The 2,600-nt window shown below is 41.8% G+C and overlaps 1 pseudogene; it reads left to right on the forward strand.

The window, feature by feature from the left end:
• Nucleotides 628-1,372, forward strand: RPL10P9 (ribosomal protein L10 pseudogene 9; annotated as a pseudogene).

Genomic DNA, 2,600 nt, shown 5'->3' on the forward strand with positions numbered 1-2,600 from the left:
GCAGGTAGGGCAAGGTGATGACTTCTGTTTAGATCATGAGGAACTGAAGGTTTACAGGACATTGGAGGAGTGAACATGAGGTTTTCTGCAGGCCATCCTCTCCTCAGTTCATGGCGCACCAAAAACGTGTATGTTAGAATTGATGAGTGTGGAACTTCTGCCAGATTGCTTTCGGGTTTAGTTCTACTCATTTTCGCTCCCATCAGTAATACAAAAGGATTTGTTGGCATTTCCCCTGTCCTTGCCAACACTGGTATTTTCTGACTTCCAAATTTTTGCTAATCTGATGGAGATATCTAATGTTAGTTTATATTTCATTGTTTGCAGTAAGTGTAGGCTTTTTTTTCTTTTTCTATTTTTCTTTCTTTTTTTTGTGCTTATTAGCCACTCAAGTTTCCTCTTTTGTAAATTGTCTAGGTATATCACTTGATCATTTTTCTGTTGGGTTTCCAGTTCTTTTCTTGGGGATTTCAAAAGTTTTGGAGTATTTCAGATAGTAACTTCTTATCAACTTTAAATACTACTAGTATCTTTTCCTAATTTGTCATCTGTGCATTTTGCCTGTAAAATGTCTAAGTTTGATGAAGTCAAAATGTAGGATTTTTTTTTTCCTAAAAGATATATGCGCTCTTTCCCTTCGGTGTGCCACTGAAGATCCTGGTGTTGCCATGGGCCGCCGCCCCGCCTGTTGTTACCGGTATTGTAAGAACAAGCCGTACCCAAAGTCTCGCTTCTGCCGAGGTGTCCCTGATGCCAAGATTCGCATTTTTGACCTGGGGCGGAAAAAGGCAAAAGTGGATGAGTTTCCACTTTGTGGCCACATGGTGTCAGATGAATATGAGCAGCTGTCCTCTGAAGCCCTGGAGGCTGCCCGAATTTGTGCCAATAAGTACATGGTAAAAAGTTGTGGCAAAGATGGCTTCCATATCCGGGTGCGGCTCCACTCCTTCCACGTCATCCGCATCAACAAGATGTTGTCCTGTGCTGGGGCTGACAGGCTCCAAACAGGCATGCGAGGTGCCTTTGGAAAGCCCCAGGGCACTTTGGCCAGGGTTCACACTGGCCAAGTTATCATGTCCATCCGCACCAAGCTGCAGAACAAGGAGCATGTGATTGAGGCCCTGGGCAGGGCCAAGTTCAAGTTTCCTGGCCGCCAGAAGATCCACATCTCAAAGAAGTGGGGCTTCACCAAGTTCAATGCTGATGAATTTGAAGACATGGTGGCTGAAAAGCGGCTCATCCCAGATGGCTGTGGGGTCAAGTACATCCCCAATCGTGGCCCTCTGGACAAGTGGCGGGCCCTGCACTCATGAGGGCTTCCAATGTGCTGCCCCCCTCTTAATACTCACCAATAAATTCTACTAACTCTCCAAAAAAAAAAAAAAAAAAAAAAAAAAAAGATGTGCTTTTATTGTTTTAACAGGTCCTTCCTCACAGGTCACACAGATATTATTTTCTATTAATTGTATAGTCATACCTTTCCCATTTATGTTTTTAATTTTTCTGTAATTCACCATTGCATATAGGGGTTTGTGAGCATCCAACCTTATTTTTCTAGGTAAACTGGTTTTCCCAACATAATCTCCAAGAAAATCTTTCCATTTTATTTGTTATTACATAACAAATTCTCATGGGCCTATTTTTGAGCTCTCAATTTTGTTCCATTGGTTTCTTTCTTAACACTGAGGACAGCAAAAATCACCTGGTGACCATACAGCAGCCATGGAGACAAAAACTCCTTATCTGAGGAATTTAGAAGTATAATGAAGGGAGCAAAGCCCACCTGGTGGCCATCAGGTGGGCCATTTAGAGACCAAAAACCTCCTTATTTGAGGAATTTTAGAAGTAATTAGACTTCCCTATTATCTAAAGTCAGCACCTGGTTCCAGGCCTCTTTTCAACTTAAAATTTACAGGTAACAAGAATTTCTATACATCTCAGAATACATGCATGGCAAAACTCTTTGTGCAACCCTTGCTGACATTAAGACATCAGAATGTCTACAAATGTAATCATTTATCAGGTAAACTACTCTTCATCTCCTGCTTTGAAGTCCATAAATGCTCCTAAGGAAAATTCACCACGGTGGGCTTAGTTCTCTCTTGCTAAGGCACCCCCCTGCACCCCATCTGCAGTGTTCTTTCTTTCTAATAAAACTTTCCTTTTTCAAACCTATACTGCTGTCAGTAAATCCTTCTTATCAACCTGTGAGTTGACCATTTTCTGATACCAGAGCTCTGATACCTCACCTGGCAAACACCACCACACTGGATTAATTATTGTGATTTTAAAATATGCCTTCACATCTAGTAAGGTAAGCATCTCTTCCTTTCTCTTTTGTTCTCCCCAAATTTACTTAGCTATTTGTAGACATATATTTTACCAATCACTTATAGGAAACATACTTACTAGATCTTTTTAAAAATAGGCCAGGCCTGGGCCGGCTGCAGTGGCTCACGCCTGTAATCTTAGCATTTTGGGAGGCTGAGGCGGGTGGATCATTTGAGGTCAGGAGTTTGAGACCAGCCTGGTCAACATGGTGAAACCCTGTCTCTACTTAAAATACAAAAATTAGCCAGGCATTTTGGCACAGCTGTAAT

Source organism: Homo sapiens, chromosome 5 (genome assembly GCF_000001405.40).
Source record: "Homo sapiens chromosome 5, GRCh38.p14 Primary Assembly".
Classification (NCBI taxonomy): Eukaryota; Metazoa; Chordata; class Mammalia; order Primates; family Hominidae; genus Homo; species Homo sapiens.